General features: G+C 41.7%; 1 long non-coding RNA gene and 1 pseudogene across 1 annotated transcript in view, besides 1 other annotated feature; one reads left to right on the plus strand and one right to left on the minus strand.

Moving 5' to 3' along the window:
* LOC105372558 (uncharacterized) overlaps positions 1-23,376 on the plus strand; it is a 44,594-nt gene that overhangs the window by 15,794 nt on the left and 5,424 nt on the right. The gene's annotated exons all lie outside the window — the stretch shown is intronic.
* Positions 12,102-12,385, minus strand: RN7SKP140 (RN7SK pseudogene 140; annotated as a pseudogene).
* Positions 20,735-21,029: an enhancer, noted in NCBI's record as "tiled region #14823; K562 Activating non-DNase unmatched - State 24:Quies". NCBI's record gives its function as "activates a minimal TATA promoter and a strong SV40 promoter by Sharpr-MPRA in K562 cells {active_cell/tissue: K562}" and the evidence as "EXISTENCE:reporter gene assay evidence [ECO:0000049][PMID:27701403]".

The raw sequence follows: 23,376 nt of genomic DNA on the forward strand, positions 1-23,376 counted from the left end.
ACAGTTTTTGGAGTATAGTTGTTTATTAATAGTCTTTAATGATCTTTCTGTTTCTGTGGTATCAGTTGTAATGTATCTTTTTTTTTGCTTCTGATTTTCTTTATTTGGGTTGTGTCTCTTTTTTTCATGGTCTAGCTAATGGTTTATAGATTTTCTTTTGTTTCATTGATCTTTTTTGTCCTCCCTCCTTTTTTTTAGACAGGGTCTTGTTCTGTCATCTGGGCTGCAATGCAGTGGCACAATCATGGCTCAGTGTAGACTTGACCTCCTAGACTCAAGTGATCCTCCCACCTTAGCCTCCTGAGTAGCTTGGGATCATAGGACCACAGATATGTGCCACTATGCCTGGTTAATTTATTCTTATTTTGAAATTTTGTAGAGATGAGTTCTTACTATGTTGCCCAGGCTGCTGCTTGATCTTTATTACGTTTTTGTTTTTATTAATTTTGACTTTGGTTTTCCCTTGCTTTTCTACCTTCTTAAGGTACATCATTAGGTTGTTTATTTGGAATATTTCTACTTTTTTGATGTAGATGTTTATTGCTATAAACTTTTCTCTTAGCACTGCTTTTGCTGTATCCCATAGGTTTTGGTATGTTGTGTTTCTGTTTTCATTTGTTTCAAGAAATTTTTTGATTTCCTTCTTAGTTTCTTCACAGACTCATTGGCCATTCAAGAGAATATTAATTTCTGTGTAAAGTTTCTAAAGTTCTCCTTGCTATTGATTTCTAGTTTTATTCCATTGTGGTCTGAGAAGATATTTGATATGATTTCAGTTTTTGAAAATTTGTTGAGACTTGTTTTTTTGTGGCCTAATATGTGGTCTATCCTGGAGGATGTTCCATGTGCTGATAGGAAGAATGTGTATTCTGTGGCTGGCAAAATGGCCAAATAGGAAAAGCTCCCGTCTGCAGCTCCCAGCAAGACCAATGCAGAAGGCAGGTGATTTCTGCATTTCCAATGGAGGTAGCTGCTCATCTCATTGGGACTGGTTAGACAGTGGGTGCAGCCCACAGAGGGCGAGCCGAAGCAGGGTGGGGTGTCACCTCACCTAGGAAGCACAAGGGGTCAGGGAACTCCCTCCCCTAGCCAAGGGAAGCCGTGAGGGACTGTGCTATGAGGGACAGTGCCATCCAGCCCAGATACTACACTTTTCCCCTGGTGTCTTCACAACCCGCAGACCAGAAGATTCCCTCAGGTTCCTACACCACCAGGGCCCTGGGTTTCAAGCACAAAACTGGGCACCATTTGGGCAGACACCAAGCTAGCTGCAGGTTTTTTTTTTTTTTTTTCATTTACAGTGGCACCTGGAATGCTAGTGAGACAGAACCATTTACTCCCCTGGAAAGGGGGCTGAAGCTAGTGAGCCAAGTGATCTTGCTCAGTGGATCCCACCCCCACAGAGCCCAGCAAGCTAAGATCCACTGGCTTGAAATTCTCGCTGCCAGCACAGCAGTCTGAAGTCGACCTGGGACACTGAAGCTTGGTGGGGGGAAGGGTGTCTGCCACTACTGAGGCTTGAGTAGGTGGTTTTCCCTTCACAGTGTAAACAAAGCCATCAGGAAGTTTGAACTGGGTGGAACCCACCACAGCCCAGCAAAGCTGCTGTAGCCAGACTGCCTCTCTAGATTCCTCCTCTCTGGGCAGGGCATCTCTGAAAGAAAGGCAGCAGCCCCAGTCAGGGGCGTATAGATAAAACCCCCCTCTCCCTGGGACAGAGCACCTGGGGGAAGGGGTGGCTATGTGTGCAGCTTCAGCAGACTTAAACGTTCCTGCCTGCTGGCTCTGAAGAGAGCAGCAGATCTCCCAGCACAGCACTCAAGCTCTGCTAAGGGACAGACTGCCTCCTTAAGTGGGTCCCTGATCCCCATGCCTCCTGACTGGAAGACACCTCCCAGCAGGGGTCGACAGACACCTCATACAGGAGAGCTTCGGCTGGCATCTGGCGGGCACCCTTCTGGGACGAAGCTTCCAGAGGAAGGAGCTGTCAGCAATCTTTGCTGTTCTGCAGCCTCCGCTGGTGATACACAGGCAAACAGGGTCTGGAGTGGACCTCCAGCAAACTCCAGCAGACCTGCAGAAGAGGGGCCTGACTGTTAGAAGGAAAACTAACAAACAGAAAGCAGTAACATCAACAACAACAAAAAGGATGCCCACGAAAAAACCCCATCGGAAGGTCACCAGCATCAAAGATCAAAGGTAGATAAATCCATGAAGATGAGGAAAAACCAGTGCAAAAATGCTGAAGATTCCAAAAACCAGAATGCTGCTTCTCCTCCAAAGGTTCACAACTCCTTGCCAGCAAGGGAACAAAACTGGACAGAGAATAAGTTTGACAAATTGACAGAAGTAGGCATCAGAAGATGGGTAATAAACTCCTCTGAGCTAAAGGAGCATGTTCTAACCCAATGCAAGGAAGCTAAGAACCTTGATAAAAGGTTACAGGAACTGCTAACTATAATAGCCAGTTTAGAGAAGAACATAAATGACCTGATGGAGCTGAAAAACACAGCAAGAGAACTTCATGAAGTATACGCAAGTATCAATAGCCAAATTGATCAAGTGGAAGAAAGGATATCAGAGATTGAAGATCAACTTAATGAAATCAAGTGTGAAGACAAGATTAGAGAAAAAAGAATGAAGAGGAATGAACAAAGCCTCCAAGAAATATGGGACTATGTGAAAAGACCAAACCTACGTTGGATTGGTGTACCTGAAAGTGACAGGGAGAATGGAACCAAGTTGGAAAACACACTTCCGGATATTACCCAGGAGAACTTCCCTAACCTAGCAAGACAGGCCAACATTCAAATTCAGGAAATACAGAGAACACCACAAAGATACTCCTCAAGAAGAGCAACCCCAAGATACATAATCATCAGATTCACCAAGGTTGAAATGAAGGAAAAGATGGTAAGGGCAGCCAGAGAGAAAGGTCAGGTTACACACAAAGGGAAACCCATCAGGCTAACAGAAACCCTACAAGCCAGAAGAGAGTGAGGACCAGTATTCAACATTCTTAAAGAAAAGAATTTTCTACCCGCAATTTCATATCCAGCCAAACTAAGCTTTGTAAGCAAAGGAGGAATAAAATCCTTTACAGACAAGCAAATGCTGAGGGATTTTGTCACCACCAGACCTGCCTTACAAGAACTCCTGAAGGAAGCACTAAATGTGGAAAGGAAAAACTGGTACCAGCCACTGCAAAGGCATACCAAAATGTAAAGACCATCGACACTTTGAAGAAACTGCATCAATGAATGTGCAAAATAACCAGCTAGCATCATAATGACAGGATCAAATTCACAAACAACAATATTAACCTTAAATGTAAATGGACTAAATGCCCCAGTTAAAAGACACAGACTGGCAAATTGGATAGAGTCAAGACCCATTGGTGTGCTGTATTCAGGAGATCCATCTCACATGCAAAGACACACATAGGCTCAAAATAAAGGGATGGAGGAATATTTACCAAACAAATGGAAAGCAAAAAAAAAAAAAAAAAAAAAAAAGCAGGGTTGCAATCCTAGTCTCTGATAAAACAGGCTTTAAACCAACAAAGATCAAAAAAGACAAAGAAGGGCATTACATAATGGTAAAAGGACCAAAAGGACCAATGCAACAAGAAGAGCTGACTATCCTAAAAATATTTACACCCAATACAGGAGCACCCAGATTCATAAAGCAAGTTCTTAGAGACCTGCAAAGAGACTTAAACTCCCACACAATAGTAGTGGGAGACTTTACACCCAACTGTCAATATTAGACAGATCAATGAGACAGAAAATTAACAAGGTTATTCAGGACTTGAACTCAGCTGTGGACCAAGTGGACCTAACAGACATCTACAGAACTCTCCACACCGAATCAACAGAATATACATTCTTCTCAGCACCACATAGCACTTATTCTAAAATTGACCACATAATTGGAAGTAAAACACTCCACAGCATATGCAAAAGAACAGAAATCATAACAAACAGTCTCTCAGACCACACTGCAATCAAATCAGAACTCAGGATTAAGAAACTCACTCAATACCACACAGCTACATGGAAACTGAACAACCTGCTCCTGAATAACTACTGGGTAAATAACAAAATTAAGGCAGAAATAAATAAGTTCTTTGAAACCAATGAGAACAAAGACACAATGTACCAGAATCTCTGGGACACAGCTAAAGCAGTGTTTAGGGGGAAATTTATAGCACTAAATGCCCACAGGAGAAAGTGGGGAAGATCTAAAATTGACACCCTAACATCACAATTAAAAGAACTAGAGAAGCAAGAGGAAACAAATTCAAAAGCTAGTAGACGACAAGAAATAACTAAGTTCAGAGCAGAACTGAAGGAAATAAAGACACAAAAAACCCTTAGAAAAATCAATCCAGGAGCTGGTTTTTTGAAAAGATTCACAAAATAGACTGCTAGCCAGACTAATAAAGAAGAAAAGAAAGAAGAATCAAATAGACACAATAAGAAATGATAAAGGGATATCACCACTGATCCCACAGAAATACAAACTACCATCGGAGAATACTATAAACACCTCTACACAAATAAATTAGAAAATCTAGAAGAAATAAGTTCCTGGACATAAATACCCTCCCAAGACTAAACCAGGAAAAAGTCAAATCCCTGAATAGACCAATAACAAGTTCTGAAATTGAGGCAGTAATTAATAGCATACCAACCCAAAAAAGCCCAGGGCTAGAGAGGTTAACAGCCGAATTCTACCAGAGGTACAAGGAGAAGCTGGTACCATTCCTTCTGAAACTATTCCAAACAATAGAAAAACAAAAGGACTCCTCCCTAACTCATTTTATGAGGCCAGCATTATCCTGATACCAAAACCTGGCAGAGACACAACAAAAAGAGAAAATTTCAGGCCAATATCCCATGATGAACACTGATGCAAAAATCCTCAATAAAATACTGGCAAACCAAATCCAGCAGCACATCAAAAAGCTTATCCACCACGATCAAGTCAGCTTCATCCCTGGGATGCAAGGCTGGTTCAACATATGCAAATCAATAAACGTAATCCATCACATAAACAAAACCAATGACAAAAACCACATGATTATCTCAATAGATGCAGAAAAGCCCTTTGATAAAATTCAACACCCCTTCATGCTAAAAATACTCAGTAAACTAGGTATTGATGGGACGTATCTCAAAATAATAAGAGCTATTTATGACAAACCCACAGCCAATATTGTACTGAATGGGAAAAACTTGGATACATTCCCTTTGAAAACCCACACAAGACAAGGATGCCCTTTCTCACCACTCCTATTCAACATAGTATTGGAAGTTCCGGCCAAGGCAGTCAGGCAAGAGAAAGAAATAAAGGGTATTCAGATAGGAAAAGAGGAAGTCAAATTGTCTCTGTTTGCAGATGACATGACTGTATATTTAGAAAACCCCATCATCTCAGCCCCAAAACTCCTAAAGCTGATAAGCAACTTCAGCAAAGTCACAGGATACAAAATCAATGTGCAAAAATCACAAGCATTCTTATACAGCAGTAATAGCCAAATCATGAGTGAACTCCCATTCACAATTGCTACAAAGAGAATAAAATACCTAGGAATGCAACTTACAAGGGATGTGAAGGACCTCTTCAAGGAGAACTACAAACCACTGCTCAAGGAAATAAGAGAGGACACAAACAAATGGAAAAACATTCCATGCTCATGGATAGGAAGAATCAATATCGTGAAAATGACCATACTACCCAAAGTAATTTTTAGATTTAATGCTATTGCCATTAAGCTGCAATTGGCTTTCTTTGCAGAATTAGAAAAAACTACTTTAAATTTCATATGGAACCAGAAAAGAACCCATATAGCCAAGGCAATCCTAAGCAAAAAGAACAAAGCTGGAGGCATCATGATACCTGACTTCAAACTCTACTACAAGGATACAGTAACCAAAGCAGCATGGTACTGGTACCAAAACAGATATATAGACCAATGGAACAGAACAGAGGCCTTAGAAATAACACCACACATCTACCAACCCAAATGTCCATCAATGATAGACTGGATTAAGAAAATGTGGCACATACACACCATGGAATACTGTGCAGCCATAAAAAAGGATGAGTTCATGTCCTTTGTAGGGACATGGATGAAGCTGGAAACCATCATTCTGAGCAAACTATCGCAAGGACAGAAAACCAAACACCACATGTTCTCACTCATAGGTGGGAATTGAACAATGAGAACACTTGGACACAGGACGGGGAACATCACACACCAGGACCTGTCGTGGGGTGGGAGGGTGGGGGAGGGATAGCAATTAGGAGAAATACCTAATGTAAATGACGAGCTAATGGGTGCAGCAAACCAACATGGCACATGTATACATATGTAACAAACCTGCACGTTGTGCACATGTACCCTAGAACTTAAAGTATAATAATAAAAAATGAAATAAAATAAAAAGATGAAAAAGTTCTGGAGATGGATGGTGGTGATGGTTACCCAGCAATGTGAATGTAGTTAATGCCATAGAACTGTATACTTAAAATGATTAAATGTCAATTTTATGTTATGTATATTTTACCACAATAAAAAAAAATTGGATGGGAACAAAAAAGAAAATGTGGCACATATACACCGTGGAATACTATGCAGCCATAAAAAAGAATGAGTTCATGTCCTTTGCAGGGACATGGATGAAGCTGGAAACCATCATTCTCAACAAACTAACACAGGAACAGAAAACAAAACACTGCATATTCTCACTCATAAGTGGGAATTGAACAATGAGAACACATGGACACAGGGAGGGGAACATCACACACCAGGGACTGTTGGAGGGTGGCAGTAAGAGAAGGGATATGATTCAGAGAAATATCTAATGTAGATGACGAGTTGATGGGTGCAGAAAACTACCATGGCACATGTATACCTATGTAACAAAACTGCATGTTCTGCACATGTATCCCAGCACTTAAAGTATAATAAAAAAATTACAAAAAAAAAGAAGAATATATATTCTGCAGCTACTAGATGAAATTTTTGGTAAATGCCTGTTAGGTCCATTGACTCCATAGGGTAGTTTAAGTCCAGTGTTTCTTTGTTGATTTTCTGTCTAGATTATTTGTCCAGTGCTTAGAGTGGGACACTGAAGTCCCCTAACTTCATTGTTTTTGGGCCTCTCACTTTAACTCAATAATATTTGCTTTATATATCTGGGTGCTCTGGTATTGGGTGCATACATATTAAAATTGTTATATCCTCTTGCTGAATTCATCTCTTTATCATTATATAATTATCTTGTCTCTTTTTATGTTTGACTTAGAATCTATTTTGTCTTATATAAATAAAGCTATTCCTGCATGCTTTTGGCTTCTATTTGCATGGAATATCTTTTTTTATTTCTTTCACTTTGTCTTTCTGCATTTTTACAGGTCAAGTGAGTTACTTGTAGGCAGCATATAGTTGGGTCTTATTTTTTATTCTTTCAGTCAGTCTGTATCTTTTAATTGTGGGATTTAAATGGTTGTTATTGATAGATGAGGACTTACTCTCGTAATTTTGGATATCCTTTGTTCCTTTCTTCTTCTCTGATTGCTATTTATTATTATTACTGTTTTGGAGACAGGGCCTTGCTCTATTGCCCAGGCTGGAGTGCGGTGACACAGTCATGGCTCATTGCAGCCTCAACCTCCTGGGCTCAAACAATCCTCCTACCACAGCCTCCTGAGTAGCTAGGACCATAGACACATGCCACCACACCCAGCTAATTTGTGTGTGTGTGTGTGTGTGCGTGTGTATGTGTATGTGTGTGTATGTATGTGTGGAAATGAGGTCTCACTATGTTACCCAGGCTGATCTCCAACTCCTGGGCTCAAGTGATTCTCCTGCACTGGCCTCCCAAAGTGCTGAGTTTACAGGCATGAGCCATCTTATTGTTTACCTTTGCAGTTTATCTTTGCAGTTTGGTGGCTTTCTGTAGTGATAACATTTGATTCCTTTCTCTTTCTCATTTGTGTATCTGTACTACCAGTGACTGTTATACTTTTGTGTGTTTTCATGACAGTAGATATCTTCCTTTCACTTCTAGATGTAAGACCCACTTAATTATTTCTTGTAGGGCCAGTATAGTGATGATGAATTCCCTCAGTTTTTGCTTGTCTGGAAAATACTTTATTTTTCCTTCATTTATGAAGGATATCTTTGCTGGGTGTAGTATTCTTGACTAGCAGGTTTTTTTCTTTCAGCACATTGAATAGATTATCTCATTCTCTCCTGGCCTGTGAGATTTCTGCTGAGAAATCTGCTGTTGGTCTGTTGGAGATTCCCTTATATGTGACTTGGTGCTTTTCTCTTACTGTTTTTAGAATTCTCTTTCTTTATCTTGACTTTCATTTTTTACTTTTTAGAGACAGGGTCTCATTCTGTCTCACAGACTAGAGTGCAGTGGCATAATCATAGCTCACTGCAGCTTTGAACGCCTGGGCTCAAGGGACCATCCCACCTCAGCCTCTTGAGTAGTGAGGACTATAGGCACATGCCAACACACCCTGGTTAATTTTCTTCCCTCCCTCCCTCCCTCCCTTCCTTCCTCGACAAAGTCTCTCACTCTGTTGCTCAGGCTGGAGTGCAGTGGCATGATGTCAGTGCACTGCAACCTCTGCCTTCTGGGTTCAAGCAATTCTCGTTCCTCAACCTCCCAAGTAGCTGGGATTACAGGCATGCACCACCACTCTCAGCTACTTTTTTGTATTTTTTTAGTAGAGACGGGGTTTCACTATGTTTGGCAGGCTGGTTTCAAACCTGGCCTCAAGTAATCCCTTGGCCTCCCAAAGTGCCTGGATTAGAGGCATTAGCCACCACATCTGGCCTAATTTTTATTTTTATTTTTTGTAGAGACAGGATGTCACTATGTTGTCTAGGCTATCCTTGAACTCCTGGCCTCAAGTGATCCTCCTGCCTCAGTCTCCCAAAGCACTGGGATCACAGACATGAGTCACTACACCTGAACCCCAACTTAGACTTTTGACAGTTTTAATTATAATGTGCTTCAAAGAGGATTTTTGGGGGCTGACCCTATTTGGAGATATTTTAGTTTTTTGTATCTGGATGTCTATATCGCTTCTAATATTTGGGAAGTTTTTAGGTATTCTTTTATTAAATAGGTTTTCTTTTCTCTTTCCTTTTCTTTCCTCCCCCTCCCCATTCCTTTCCCCTTCCCCCTCCCCCTCCCCCTCTCTCCCCTCCCCTTCCCTCACCTCCCCTTCCCTTCCCCTCTCCTCCCCTTCCCCTACTCTTTCTTCCTTTCCTCTCCCCTTCCTTCCGCTCTTCTCCTCTCCCTTTCCCTTCTTTTCCTTTCCCTTTCTCTTTTCTTCTCTTTCTCCCTCTCTGTTGCTGAAGTACAGTGTGTGTTTACAACTCACTAAAGCCTTGAGCTCCCAGGCTCAACCTTCGGAGTAGCTGGGACTACAGATGTAGGCCCCCATGCCTGGCTAATTTTTAAAATATTTTTAATGGAGTAGGGGTATATTAGTCCATTCTCACACTGGTATAAAAACATACCTGAGACCGGATAATTTATGAAGAAAAGAGGTTTAATTGACTCACAGTTCCACAGGTTGTACAGACGGCATGATTGAGGAGGCCTCAGAAAACTTACAATCATGGCAGAAGGTGAAGGGGAGACAGGCACAGTCTTTACATGGCAGAGCAGGAGAGACAGAGAATGAAGGGGGAAGTGCTACACACTTTTAAATAAACCAGATCTATGAGAACTCACTCACTATCATGAGAACAGCAAGGGGGAAATTCATCCCCATGATCCAGTCACCTCCCACCAGGCCCCACCTCCAATGCTTGACTCCACTTCCAAAGCAATTCAACATGAGATTTGGGTGGGGACACGGAGCCAAACCCTATCATTCTGCCCCTGGCCCCTCCCAAACCTCTCATTTCCCCCTGGCTCCTCCCAAACCTCAAATGTCCTTCTCACATTTCAAAACACAATTGTGCCTTTCCAACGGTCCCCCAAAGTCTCAGCTCATTTTAGCATTAACTCAAAAGTCCAAGTCCAAAGTCTTACCTGAGACAAAGCAAGTCCCATCTGCCTATGAGCCTATAAAATAAAAAACAAATTAGTTAGTTCCAAGATACAGTGGGGGTACAGGTATTGGGTAAATTCTTCCATTCCAAAAGGGAGAAATTGGCCAAAACGAAGGGGTTACAGGCCCCATCCAAGTCTGAAACCCAGCAGAGTAGTCATTAAATCCTAAAGCTCCAAAATAATCTCCTTTGACTCCATGTCTCACATCTAGGGCACACTGATGCAAGGGTTAGGTTCCTAAGGCTTTAGGCAGCTCTGCCCCTATTGCTCTGCAGGGTACAGCCCCCACAGCTGCTTTCACAGGCTGGTGCTGAGTACATGTGGCTTTTCCATGCACATGGTGCAAGCTGTCAGTGGATCTGCCATTCTGGGCTTTGGAAGATGGTGAACCTCTTCTCACAGCTCCACTAGGGAGTGTCCCAGTGGGGACTCTGTGTGGAGGCTCCAACCCCACATTTCCCCTCTGCATTCCTCTAGTAGAGGTTCTCCTTGAGGGGTCCACCTCTGCAGCTGATTTCTGCCTGGACATCCAGGCATTTCCATACATCCTCTGAAATCTGGGCAGAGTCTCCTATACCTCAGCTCTTGTCTTCTGCTCAGCTGCAGGCCCAACACCACTTGGAAGCCACCAAGGCTTGGGTTGTGCACCCTCTGAAGGCATGGCCCGAGCTGTACTGTGGTCCCTTTTAGCCACGGCTGGAGCTACAGTGGCTGGGACACAGGGTGCCATGTCTTAAGGCTGTACAGAGCAGCAGGGCCCTGGGCCTGGCCCACAGAACTATTTTTCCCTTCTAGACCTCCAGGCCTGTGATGGGAGGGGCTGCTGTGAAGGTCTTTGAAATGCCCTGGAGGCATTTTTCCCATTGCCTTGGCTCTTCTTTATTTAGGCAAATTTCTGCAGCCTTGAATTCCTCCCCAGAAAATGGTTTTTTCTTTTCTACTGCATGGTCAGACTGCAAATTTTCCAAACTTCTATGCTGTGCTTCCTTTTTAAATATAACTTCTAGTTTCAGGTTATTTCTTTGTTTATGCAAATGAGTGCAGGCTTTTAGAAGCAGCCAGGCCACATCTTGAATGCTTTGTTGCTTAGAAATTTCTTCTGCCAGATACCCTAAATAATCTCTCTCAAGTTCAAAGTTCCACAGATCTCTAGAGCAGGGGCACAATGCCACCAGTCTGTTTGCTAAAGCATAGCAAGAGTGACCTTTACTCCAGTTCCCAATAAGTTCCTCATCTCCATCTGAGACCACCTCAGCCTGGACTTCACTGTCCATATCACTATCGGCCTATTGGTCACAGCCATTCAACAAGTCTCTAGGAAGTTCCAGACCTTCCTCCATCTTCCTTTCTTCTTCTGATCCCACCAAACTGTTCCAATCTCTGCTCATAATCCAGTTCCAAAGTCGCTTCCACATTTTCAAGTATCTTTATAGCAATGCCCCTACTTCTCTGGTACCAACTTTCTGTATTAATTCATTCTCACACTGCTATAAAGACATATCTGAGGCTGGGTAATTTATGGAGAAGAAAGGTTTAATTGACTCACAGTTCCACAGGCTGTAGAGGAGGCATGGCTGGGGAGGCCTCAGGAAACTTACAATCTTGTTGCAAGGTGAAGGGGAAGCAGGCATAATCTTCACATGGTGGAGCAGAAGAGAGAGAGAGTGAAGGGGGAAGTGCTACACACTTTTAAGCAACCAGATCTTGTGAGAACTCACTATCATAAGAACAGCAAGGGGGAAATCCATCCCCCATGATCCAATCACATCCCACCAGGCTCCATCTCCAACACTTGGGATCACAATTCAACATGAGATTTGGGTGTGGACACAGAGCCAAACCATATCATGTGGTCTCCTTATGTCGCTCAGGCTTGTCTTGAACTCCTGGGCTCATGCGATCCTCCTGCCTCAGCCTCCCAAATTGCTGAGATTACAGGTGTGAGCCACTGCACCTGGCCTCTTTCATTAAATAGGTTTTCTATGCTCTTTCCTGTCTCTTTCTGGATTATTTGTTTACTTAATGGTGTCCCATGTGTTACATAGGCTTTTTTCATCCTTGAGAGCTTGTTTGGAGGTTCTAGTAGGGGAGCACAGCTACTTGTATACCCTTGGCTAAAGAATGGTCCTCCTCTGTTGGGGAACTTCATCCTCTTCAACCAAGCACGAAGGGGGGACACACATGGAGTTGTGAGGGAGGAAGAGGACACCTGCTTAGCCAGACAGATTAGCCAAATCAGCCCTGGCGATTAGTGGGGTGACAGATGTCACTGCCAGATCACCCTCACGTCCTCCTCATTCTCTTCTGTTTTGTTTTTGGTTGTTTTTCTTTCTTCTGTTTGATCTAGTCTGTTGTTGAAGCTCTCAATTGTATTTTTATTTCATTCATTGAATTTTTCAGTTCTAAGATTTGTTTGTTTTTTTGTTTAATGATTTCTATCTCTGCTGAATTTCTCGCTTAGATCATGAATCATCTTCCTGCTTTCCTTGTAGTGTCTGTGTTCTCTTCTATCTTCCTGAGTTTCCTTAAGATTATTATTTTGATTTCTTTTTTTGAGATAGAGTCTCGCTCTATTGCCCAGGCTGGAGTACAGTGGCATGATCTTGGCTCACTGTAACCTCTGCCATCTGGGTTCAAGTGATTGTCCTGCCTCAGCCTCCCGAGTAGCTGGGATTACAGGAGCCTGCCACTATGCCCAGCTAATTTTTGTATTTTTAGTACAGACGGGGTTTCACCATCTTGGCCAGGCATTATTTTGAATTTTTAAAAGGTATTTCATATATTTCCTTTTCTTTGGGGTCTGTTTTGGAAAATTATTGTGTTCCTTTGGTAATGTCGTGTTTTGCTTTATCATGTTTCTTTTGTCCCTGTGTTGATGTACGTGCAGTCACTTCTTCCAATTTTATGGAGTAGCTTTCACAGGGAAAGACCTTTTTCTGTAGATGTAGCTATAGTGTTGGTTGGATATGATACTCTGGCTTTGGTTCTGGTTGAGTGCAGTAGTGTAGTCTCCATATGATTTCTTCAGCTGTAATCAACGTCAGCAATATCCACAAGTTTCTCAGTGGCTTAGGCTGTGATTGTTTGTGGAAGCTGTGATTGTTTGTTTGCTGAGGACAAGGACATTAAATAGGCTGGGTTTTGGGCCCCTGAGGGGCACATGTGGGTGGGCAGCATCCCCTCTGCTAGAGGGGGCAGATTTGCTGATGTGGAGTCAGTGGATCCCAGGAAGGCTGGTCCCAGGTGGCAGGCCCCAGGTGGGCCAGTTCTTGGGCCCCTGTGGATTGCACACAGACATGAGGCAGCCTCACCGCTGGGATGGGTGGGGTCACCAGTGCTGGTAGCAGTGGGCTCCAGGGTTGGCTACTAGTATGTCAAAGGAGATAGCTGAGAAGTAACATTAGTTTATCAGTGGATCTGGACCTGTAGAAAGATTTATTCCTTTGAGGATCATCTTTGCTTTCTGGAAAACTTCTTTAGTATCTGGGCCTGCTTCATGCTCATTCTATGATTCCTATATTGATTCCGCTTCCTATTTTTGCTCCTTATAATGACTGATTTCAAAACTGAGCCCTTCATATCCTGATTAGCAATAGATCTCAAGCTTTTGATTGGTAAATTTCAGACTGGTTGCTGCTACTATCCTTCCCTCTCTCTACTTTTTCTGAATGTCCAGCAGGGAGAGGATGAGTGCGATTGGCTTTGCCACTTCTCTTCGACATTCTGGAGACTTTACCATCATAGCAATCTCATGGGTTAAGGGAAGTGAATAGCCAATATTTTACAGAGGGATTTCATTCCCCGGCTTTATATGCAGAAAATTCAGTATTCTTATGGTTCTAGTAATCTCTGTCTGTGGATACCTATTTCCTAGTCATCCTCCTTCCAGGTTACATCTTGTGATCTAGTCAGGCTGTTCTTCTCTTTACCCCATAGATATGCCACCACACTCTGCCTCTCTGCCTTTTTCATGTCCTCTTCCCAACAATCCACATACTATCCATATATCAAGGTTCAGTTTAAATTTTTCTCTCTTCCATAAAGACTCTCCCAGCTAGGCCAGCCCTTCTGCTCTCCCTCTCCACTGATGTGCTACTCCAACTTAAGAGTTCCTATTAAATGATTTCATTTATCTTTTTTGTTGTTGTTTCATCATTGTTGGAAGACATTATGTGGAAAGACCTGGATCCTGATGCCAGCTCTAGTACTAGCTTGGAATATATGATTGGGCATGAGACTTGACAGTTTCCACACATGTAGAATGAAGGGTATGGGCTTGTTACTGGAAAACATTACAGATTTGATTTTATAGAAATTCAAAATTTCTGTGAAGGAAAATATGTCATAAGCAAGATTAAAAGATATATGACTGGGGAAAATGTGTGCAACATATATACGAAGGATTAATATTTCTACTATAAAAGTGACTTCAAAAACTGGATGTAATGGCACATGCCTATAGTCACAGCTAGTCAGGAGGCTGAGGTGAGGGGACTGCTTTAGCCACGGGGTTCAAGACCAGCCTGGGCAACATAGTGAGACCTCCATCTCTTAACATTTTTAAAAAAGTGTCTTCAAGCCAATAGAGAATGGACAATTTACAAAAAATAATAATAACACAAATGGCTAATAACCACCTGAAAAGATGCTTGTTCCCTAGTGGAATTAGGTACTGGCACATAAAATAGCCATGAGAAGCCATTCTTTTTCTCCAGAAAGATGTACATTATATTCAGAGTTGGAGAATATAGGATCACAAGGTCACAAGGTTGTTAAGAGCCTAAAGTGATATAGCTTTTTTGGTCTAAAAATATTAAATATACTTCCCTTTGATATATCAAATCCATTTCTAGGAAAGTATCCTGAAAAAATACTTGGACAAAGATATACATAAAAACTGTCCAGATAGTAGTTAATTTGTAGTAGTAGGTAATTTGTAGTATTATCAATAATTTGAATTTTCATCAATAGGAAAAAGCTATATAGTCACTGAAAACAGTGAGGGCAGGCTGGATTCAGGTGCATCCACAGCCATAAAAATATCTCTGATATTTTGTTGACAAAAAAAGGTAAGTTGTAAAATTATGCAATGTGATCCCATTTTGGAGGAGGAGGGAAGAAAGCATTGTATATCTTAAATATATACTTTTATAGTTTTATCATCTTAGAAAATTATTTGGAAGGAATTACACCAAACAGTTACAAGGAGCTACCCCTAGGGAATAGGAATAGATGGGATTAAAGGGAGGCATTTTCACTTTTTAAACGTGGCTGTGATTGGTAAATTATCTATTTTTTACATGTTAACCTCCTTTTCCCAGTTAATTAACTCTTTGGCTATAGATAATGTTATCTCTTCCTCATAGCACTTACCACGGTGTTGATCATTTAACTATTTGACTCTAATCTCTTCTTGTTTTCATGGTTTCTGATAAACAGTTCACTATAATTTTTGTACTTGTTCCTCTATAGTGAGGTGTCTCCCCTCCCCACTGTTTCTTTTAAGATTTTCTCTGTCTTTGGTTTTCTGCAGTTTGAATATGATATGCCTAGGTGTCATTTTTAAATATTTATCCTGCTGGTGTTCTCTGAGCTTACCGAATCTTTATTTTGGTGTCCATCATTAATTTTTTTTTTTTGAGACAAAGTCTCATTCTATTGCCCAGGCTGGAGTGCAGTGGCATGATCTCAGTTCACTGCAACCACTGCCTCCTGGGTTAAAGCGATTCTCCTGCCTCAGCCTCCTGAGTAGCTGGGATTACAGGTGCCCACCACCATGCCCGGCTAATTTTTGTATTTTTCTAGAGACAGGGTTTCACCATGTTGTCCAGGCTGGTCTCGAACTCCTGACCTCAGGTGATCTGCCTGCTTCAGCTTTCCATAGTGCTGGGATTACAGGCATGAGCCACTGTGCCTGGCCTATCATTAATTTTGAAATGGTCATTATTACCTTCTGCTTGGTTCTCTCCCGCTAACGTTCCCTTGGTGTATATTATGCCTTTTGAATTTGTCCCACAGTTCTTGGATGCTCTGTGTTTTTTTTTTTTGTTTGTTTTTTCATTATTTTTTCTCCTTGTATTTCAGTTTGGGAAGTTTCTATTAATATCTCTTCAAACCCACTGAGTGGTTTTGATTTATAGCATTTTCTTTTGATTCTTTCTTAGTTTCCATCTTTCTGCTTTCAATACCCATATGTTTTGTATGTTGTCTGTTGTTTCCCATTAAAGCCCTTAATGTAATCATAATTATTTAAAATTCCCTGTCTGATAGTCCCCAAATCTGTGCCATATCTAAATCTTGTTCTTATATTTGCTTTGCCTCTTCAGACTAGACTTTTTCTTGCCTTTTTTTTTTTTTTTTTTTTTTTTTTGAGACAGAGGTTCACTCTTGTTGTCCAGGCTGGAGTACGATGGCACAATTTCGGCTCACTGCATCTACCTCCACCTCCCGGGTTCAAGTGACTCTCCTGCCTCAGCCTCCTGAGTAGCTGAGATTACAGATGCCTGCCACCATGCCCGGCTAATTTTTTGTATTTTTTAGTAGAGACAGGGTTTCACCATATTGGAGAGGCTGGTCTCAAACTCCTGACCTCAGGTGATCCACCCATCTTGGCCTCCCAAAGTGCCCAGATTATAGGCGTGAGCCACCGCACCCAGCCTTTTCTTGTCTTTAACATGCTTTGTAATTTTCTTGTCGAAAGACAAATACTATGTATCTAGTAATAGGAACTGAGGTAAATAGGCCTTGAAGGGAGGTTTTTATGTTAATCTAGCTAGCAGTTGGGCTGTATTTCATGTTTTCTATAGCTGTAGGTGCCAGAGGCTTCAGATTTCTGTAGTGTGCTTGCCTGTTGTTTTGGATCTTCTTTCTTAAATGTAGTCTGAATCGTACAGCTCTTTCAGTTATAATCCACTGGACAGCCATCATACTGGTGCCCTGTTGGTCTAGTGGTAACATGTAGGGGAGTTCTGTAATCTTAGGACAATATAGAAATCTTAAATTTATGGTTAAGATTAAAAGTTCTCTAATTTTATGATTTTATGATTATAGAATTAAATGATCTTGCTTATAAGTCATGTTTATGAATATGGAATTCTCATTCTAATGATGAAATCTCAGTCTTTTCATGGGTCTGTGTTCCTGGCTGTGATCTTCATAAGTGTTTCTTGCCTCCTGCACCCTTTGGCGAGTCGGGAAGTCTAGCTGGGATTGGAGTTGGAGAATTGTTCTTCCCCCAGATGGGGCAAGTCTCTGGTAAAGTGCTTCTCCCTTGAGAGCAGGCATTTGTAGGGGAATGCTCTGGGTGTATTTCACAAAGGTCACTTTTCCATTCCCCTGACAGAGCCTTAGAGGGGCTCTTTCCTGACTTTTTACTGCAAGAACCTGGTGGGGTTCCTGGAGGTAAAACCCATGAAAGTATGTCACGCCCCCGCCACACTCCCTTGGCAAGGCTGCATTCTCCAAGAGTTTCTCACTGTCACACTAGTCCACCTTTAACCTCCAGCAATTCATCACTCACCAATTAAGTGTTCCTTTCAGATTAAGACTCTAGCACTTCTGTTCCACATCAGCAGGTGATGGCTGTAACTCTCTGGATTCATCTGTCTCTCCAGATTGCAAGGTGTCTTTTAAATTTCCCAAAGGAGAAAAAGGCTACTTCTCGTCCAAATTTTTGTCTAAATATAGTTTAAATCCACTTACCCATTTATAATGGTGATGGCCTTTGAGGAAGCTGATGTGGTGTCCTGAGCTGCATTTCAGGTTTGCAGGTGAGGTTAGGCTTGGAGCTTCTCCACAGCAGATTATACACATGCGACCAGCCTAGCCCATAGCTATGCTCCCAACAAGACCTCAGAGACCTCAGCCACCAAGCATACATTTCTGCGTAGCAGGGCTGGAGGGACATTGCTCACAGGTGTGCCTATCAGGCAAGGAGAGAGAATACGCCTGTACACAGCTTCCCAAGAAGCCAACTTTCTCCTTCTGCAGGAGGTTTCGTGCAGGGAAGAGATAGGCCTAAGGTGTCCTAGAATTTATCTACATTGCTGGGAAACTGCTGTGTGTAGCAAGCTTTTTGAAAATAGAGAGCTTGGGCATGGTATGGCAACTTTGTATTGCTTTTTGCACTAGAAGCTTTATTGTTAATGATGAAAGAGGGAAAAACCTTGATTGGTTGTTTTACATCTTACTGTTTTATTTTGAAGAAATATTTATGTTCCCAAAGGTTAAAAAAAAAAACACCAACTCTTTTTTTTTTTTTTTTTTTTTTTTTTGAGATGGAGTTTTGCTCTTATTGGCCAGGCTGGAGTGCAGTGGCACGATCTTGTCTCACTGCAACCTCTGCCCCCTGGGTTCAAGCGATTCTCCTGCCTCAGCCTCCTGAGTAGCTGGGATTACAGGTGCCCATCACCACACTGGCTAATTTTTGTATTTTTAGTAGAGACGGGTTTCACCATGTTGGCCAGGCTGGTCTTGAACTCCTGACCTCAAGTGAGCCGCCTGCCTCAGCCTCCCAAAGTGCTGGGATTACAGGCGTGAGCCACTGCACCCGGCCACCAACTCTTTTAAAAGTTGTTTTCAAGGGCTAAGAAATAGCATTTTGAGGTAATAATATTTCTGAATTTTATGTAATTCATATTTTCTAAATTGTGTATAATTCAGTGTTTTCCTTATTCTAATCAATCCAAGATACATTTGTGAATATATTTCTATGTTCCAGATACTACTTATATTAACTTCAGTATATTAATTGAAGAACTGAGCCCTGAAACTTAAGTTTTGCCCAGGTCACATTTGATGGCTAGTGGCAGAGTTGATTGGTTTTATATAAATTGATCCCTTTTTTTAACAGTTACAATTTTGAAATATTTTATTTTATTTTATTTATTTTTGAGATGGAGTCTCACTCTGTTGCCTAGGCTGTAGTGCAGTGGCATTATCTCGGCTTGCTGCAACTTCTGCCTCCTAGGTTCAAGCAATTCTCCTGCCTCCCAAGTAGCTGGGATTACAGGCGTGTGCCACCACACCCATCTAATTTTTGTATTTTTAGTAGAGATGGAGTTTCACCATGTTGGCCAGGCTGGTCTTGAGCTCCTAACCTCAAGTGATCCACCTACCTTGGCCTCCCAAAGTGTTGGGATTACAGGTGTGAGCCACTGTACCTGGCCATTGAAAAATTTTAAATTAATGTATAATTTGTATACATTAAAATTCACCTTTGAAAAATATTCAGTTCAATAAATGTTGAACTGCGTAGGGTCATGTAACCACCACCATAGTCAAAATAAAGAATATTTTCATTAACCCCTCAAATTCACTCTTTTTCTAAGTGTTTTAAAGTTTTAGATTTTATTCTTAGGTCTGTGACCCATTTTGAGTCGATTTTTGTGAAAAGTGTGAAGAAGTGTTGACCTAGTTTCTTTTTTCTCTCCTTCCTTCTTTTGCAAATGAATGTCCAATTATTTGGGCGCCATTTGTTGAACTGCCTTTTTGTCTTTGCTGAAAATCAATTGACATATGTGTACACCAAAAATTTCTGAACTCTCTCTTTTATTTCATTGATGGGTATATCTATAAACCTCACAAGTTTTAAATTGATTAGTGTGGTTAAGACCTCACACTTACTGTCATCACTATTTCACCACTTACTTGAGCTGTGACATGCCAAAAAAGTACAAAGCAAAGCTATTTCTCCCTATATTTTTGACTTTTTTAAATGCCTCAGACAACTGTAACTCATTGACATTTATATCTCAGAGCTAAAATACAGAGATTACATTTGGATCAACACCTTCAGTACTTATATCCTGAAACTAATTATGTTGCCAGTATAATGAAATGAAAATGTTAACATGTTTAAGCCTGTCATGTGAAAATATTTCAGATGTCACAATGAAACCATTTATGCCATCCTTGTCATGGGTTGTCTCTGGTCCTATAATTACTTTCTGGCTTCCAGAAAATCCGTTTGAATATTTAAAATATTCAAGAATAAAACATTACTGAGAAAGCAGAGATGGTTCTTTCTCTGACCTCCTAGTAAAAGTGTCTTTGTTTTTGTCTAACTTCATCTTGCCTGCCCTGAGTTTGAATTGCGCATCAAGATTGGGGGTACCCTGACTTTTTCCTTGCCTACATCCAAAGCAAGACTTCCTTGGTTCCTTTGACAAGAGCTGTAGTCCACCAGATGATTTAAATCTAAGATACTCTTTCTTTCCAAGTCCATACTTAGTTGTAGGTAGATTTTGTCTCTATTGGCAGTGGTGGTGTCGGGAGTAGAGATAGAGCACCAACCACTAAAAACTGTGCTCCTCCCTTTATCTCCAGGATCTGGAATTCTGAATTAGTCACTCCTGGGCATAGCCATGGCTGTTGGGGGAGAGGAATGAGAGGGGAAGTTTTTCACCTTGATCCATCCTGAGAACCCTGATCTCATCTGTTCTATTCACCAGTAGCTGTCATTCTCAAAGTACCATTCGGCGGCTTTCTTCGGCTTTGGAAACTTTCATCTCTGCCCTGGCACTCTTCACAGACTGAAGCTCCTTCCCACTTTGTACCATGCACATGGCTCAGCACCAGATTCCAAAAAGCTGGAGCTGGGCTTACAGATAGGAACATTTCTGCACCTTCTGAGGGTTGCACCAGGTTGTCTTCACTACACTGTGGTGTTACCTGTTTGCTAAAGCCCTGGGCCTGTCTTCTGATTGACTGCTTGTGGAGTGTGACTCTGAAGTTACTCTGTCCCAACACTCTTGGATGACTCACAAAAGGCAAGTTATTGCTCTTTTCTTGATGTCATTTCCCTCTCTCCCTGATAAAGTGAGTAGTCCTCCTTATCACCCCTTTGCCGATGTCAGAGCACAACTCATTATGCCAGGCTTGGGGGTTTACAGAGTTCCTCAGCACTTTGCAACACTCCTCCTCCCCACTCTACCCCAGTGTTATAACAGACCTTCTTAGCTCCCTTTTCTTGAGGGCATTACAGCCAGGAATAACTAGCTGAGTGGCGCTAAATGAAATGTATTCTAAGCCTCCCATTAAGCCACCCACCCTCATTGTGCTTATGGTACCTTATTTATAGGGACTCCTGTAATTGGATAACATCTCTCCCCTTAGTTCTCTTCCTTTCCCTTCAAGCAGAAGCCAGCTGGGGTCAGAGGAGAGGCTGCTTTCACCTGCAGTCTCCATCACTCCGTCTGGCTTTCCAGATCTCAGTCTTATAGGGGGACACCTGTGCAAATGATTCCAGGGCATTTAGTCATGCCTGCCCTTGCCCTGTTTCCCAAGACACAACTGCCGGAGGCAGCCATTTAAAAATGTGGTATGTAGTCTTTTAGACTCCTTCATACATTTCCCTTTTTTACATACATGGGGTGATACTACATACTGTAGTCTTCTCTGTTTATGTACTCCTATATTGATGGCATTTTTCATGTTCTCAGCTGCATGAAATTCCATCGTATAATTCTAGCATGGTTTACTTCACCAGGTCCTTATTGACTGTTGTTCCTGTTGCTACAATTTTCAGATGTTGTGAACAACGGTCCCATGGACGTCAGTGTATATACAGCTTTGTACACCTGAACAATGATTTTCTTAGACGTGGAATTGATAGAACTTTCATTTTGATACACTCTACCCTTTAGAAAAGTAGCACCATTTGGCTGGGTGCGGTGGCTCACACCTGTAATCCCAGCACTTTGGGAGGCTGAGGCGGGCGGATCATGAGGTCAGGAGATTGAGACCATCCTGTCTAATACGGTGAAACCCCGTCTCTACTAAAAAAAATACAAAAAATAAGCTGGGCATGGTGGCGGGCGCCTGTAGTCCCAGCTACTCAGGAGGCTGAGGCAGGAGAATGGCGTGAACCCGGGACGCGGAGCTTGGAGTGAGCCGAGATGGCACCACTGCACTCCAGCCTGGGCAACAGAGCGAGACTTCATCTCAAAAGAAAAGAAAAGTAGCACCATTTATGCTCTCACCAGCTGTATATAAGGGTCACCTTTTCCCCCACACACTTGCTAGCAATGAACTTTAGCCTTCTTTTTCATCTAAAACCATACCCATACCAGTGGAAACATGGTATTTTATTGTTTCAGTTTGCATTTCTGTAATCATTCATGGGACTGAGCATCATTTAATATACTTAATAGTCATTTGGATTTTTTCTGTGAATTGTCTGTTCGTATCTTTTTTCTACTGTGGTGTTCATCTTTTCTGTGTTGCTTTGTAAGAGTTCTTTATACGGTAAAAATATTAACTCTTTGTTTTGTGTATACATTACAGATATTTCCCCCAGTTTGGTGTTTGTTTTTTAATTTTGATTCAATGTCTTTTAATACATGGACCTTAAAATTTTTATGCAACTAAATCTGTTGGAGTTTCCTTTGTGGCTTTTGGTTTTTTATTCTTTTCCTGATCAAATATTATAAAAATATTTAAATGTCTTTATTGTTCCAATGATTTTTAAAAATCTTTTACATGTGGAAGATCTGTCTTGTTATGAGGATGATAATGGTAGAATGACTTCCCATGTGAATGGTAGAAGGGTAATCTGAAGTCACCTTTTGGCAGGTCTGGAATCTTATGAACATCGCAGAAACTAGGTAGAACCTAGAGCCCAGTTTGATGACATTGGTGTGTCTACACAGAGGTTTACACAATTTCCTCAAGTGTATCATTAGTAAATGAGAGGTAGAACCTGTGATTCTCTTGTTATTGTTATTAAGTTGAGCAAACCTTTTATTTCCAGCCTTAGTCAAATCTATACCAACTTTATCATCTGTAAGCCACTAACAAGTCAGGCTAGATTTTTCTGTATAAAGGGAAAGAGTCCTGGCTAAGCAATATGTTAATTACTATTGTAGCCACTCTGAGAAACACAATGGACACCCTTTCAAAATTTGTTTCAGATGTTGAGACTGATGATGACACACACACACACACACGCACACACACACCAAGAGTGTGAAAAGGTTAATTATGTACATAATTGTGGTCTCCGGAGAGAGCAGAGCAGGCATCCCAAGTGAGTCTCAAATGGCTTGAGAGGGCAGGAAACGAGAAGCCTGGCTAGGGCTTTTATTGGGGTTGTGGCTGGGGCTGGAGAGAGGATTCCTTTATGCAGGCAGTGGTTTGCATGGTTGGAATCTTCCCCCAGTGCCAAAGGAGGGAGCCCCCAGACTTTCTTATCAGCTTACCCAGTTATGGGGCAGAGTGGCAGAGGGAGGGTGAGGCTCAAAAGCAGATAGCAGTCAAATGTCTAAAACCAGAGTTAGACTCC

This window comes from Homo sapiens, chromosome 20 (assembly GCF_000001405.40).
Source record: "Homo sapiens chromosome 20, GRCh38.p14 Primary Assembly".
Taxonomy (NCBI): Eukaryota; Metazoa; Chordata; class Mammalia; order Primates; family Hominidae; genus Homo; species Homo sapiens.